This window comes from Homo sapiens, chromosome 9, assembly GCF_000001405.40.
Source record: "Homo sapiens chromosome 9, GRCh38.p14 Primary Assembly".
Taxonomy (NCBI): domain Eukaryota; kingdom Metazoa; phylum Chordata; class Mammalia; order Primates; family Hominidae; genus Homo; species Homo sapiens.
The window spans coordinates 24,555,495-24,557,456 of NC_000009.12; positions in this window are offsets into that span (position 1 = coordinate 24,555,495).

The window sequence follows — 1,962 nt, forward strand, 5'->3', positions numbered from 1 at the left end:
TCTAATTTTCATGAAATCTCCATGGACAAGGGTCTGATCTACTCCATTTATTAAGTAGGAAACTGAACTTCCAGAAGGAAATGTTACTTTTTCAAGCTTATATGTCCTATGAGGGCAAAAGTTTGGGTCCAACTCTAATGCCTATACTTTGCTGAATTAGATCACATCAATTATACATTTTGATGCATATTTCATCTTAGCCCAATCAAATCAAAGTGAGATAAAAATTAAAGAAAAAACATATTTTAAGTTTTGTTTAGATAAAAGAAAACATGAATCAGTGGGCAAGCCATGGGACAGTTGAACTAACTCTCACACATATCGAAGTAGAGTTCTAAAACAGCATTTGATGATAAAGGTTAGCATAAATCTGGAAGCTGTTCCTCTGACCTGAATAGGTGCTTAGAGAATATTAGCAAGCTAGAGAAAGGCCTAAATATGTGTCGAGACTCATCCAATCTTTCAGGTGTGGGAAAATTGAGTTTTTTATTAAGGTGAAATAACCAATGTCTATCTCACAGCATCAAACAAATGACTTAGAGAGACAAAGGAATTTGGAAAAACAGCTTTGTCTGTCCCATCAAAATAGCTAGTCTTTTAAAGTAATAACTGTGTAACCTTGGGGAAGTTAGTTACCCTTTAGAAACCTAAGGTTTTGCAACTGAGACATGGGAAAAAATATATACACATACACATTATAAGGTTCTTGTGAGGGTTAAATGAGATGATAATATGTTACCAAAAAGTACCTTATATTTATTAAATGTAAGCATTCATTAAATGTTAGTTGTTATTGATGTTATTTTTGTTACAAATAAAAGTGTTCTTCCTTTCTCATTTAGTAATTATAAAACATTGCACAATTCACTGGATCTCTTTAAGCCTTAGTTTATTTATAAAGATGGCTCTCGTATAGTATCATGTTAATCTTTTAACGTTGCTTTGAGGGTTAAACTGTAAAATGCATATAAAAGTACAATAAGTCCTCACTTGATATTGTCAACAAGTTCTTAGAAAATACTTTAAAATCTTTGAATAATATTATTTGTTTCAAAATTGTTTCATTCTAAACTTGAGCAGAAAAAATACTGGTTTTATTATGCTTCTTTTGCTTAAAGTCAGTTTCTAAGAACCTATCAACAAAGTTAAGTGAGGACTTACTGTATTTTAGAAAATATAATAAATTAAAAGAAGTGATATATTAACATCCTCACTAGAAAAATCCACTGGGTCATCTCACTCCACATCTCGTTAGCCTCTGTAGCATTAGAGAGGAAGACTACCTTTTGCAAAATAGTATCATTCACTTTTTTCTCAATGCCATTTCTGCACTTCTCTCTGTTCCTGTCTGACCAGCTCTTTTTCATTTTCTTTACAGAATGCAATATCTCTTTTTACCTCATAATTGTTAAATGTTCCACAGGGCTCCTCTTAATCCTCTTCTCATTCTACTGAATCTTAACTACTCCTATGACTTTAACGTCTAAATCTCTATCTATCGCCTAGCCCTAGAACTACAACTATTCTAATCTTAAAATGAGTTTTCCCAAATGGGGCTTGACAATGACAAAATGATTAGTGATCTTCAAAGTATATTGGATAAACTTTATAAAGCTATATGAAACACTATTATTCCACTAGATATTGATATAGAAGTAATTGAGCTGCAATATCAGATGACATTAAAATGAGTGTTTATCACCATTCTTGGCTGAAGGTTTCTGGTAAGAAATAAGTAGCCTCTAAGGACAAACTAAGCAAATCCAGCCCAGTTAAGTTATGATAGAGATCATTCTGGAATTTATAGCATCTTTCTCTTCCTCATTCATTTGCTTCTTCAAAAAATATTTATTTAGCACTAATTATGTCCGGAATACTAAGATTTTTTTATAAGGAAAGAGGAGAAATGATAATAGGGCATGAAGAAGATTATTGAAACTGTTCCTTGAACTAGCTTTAAAT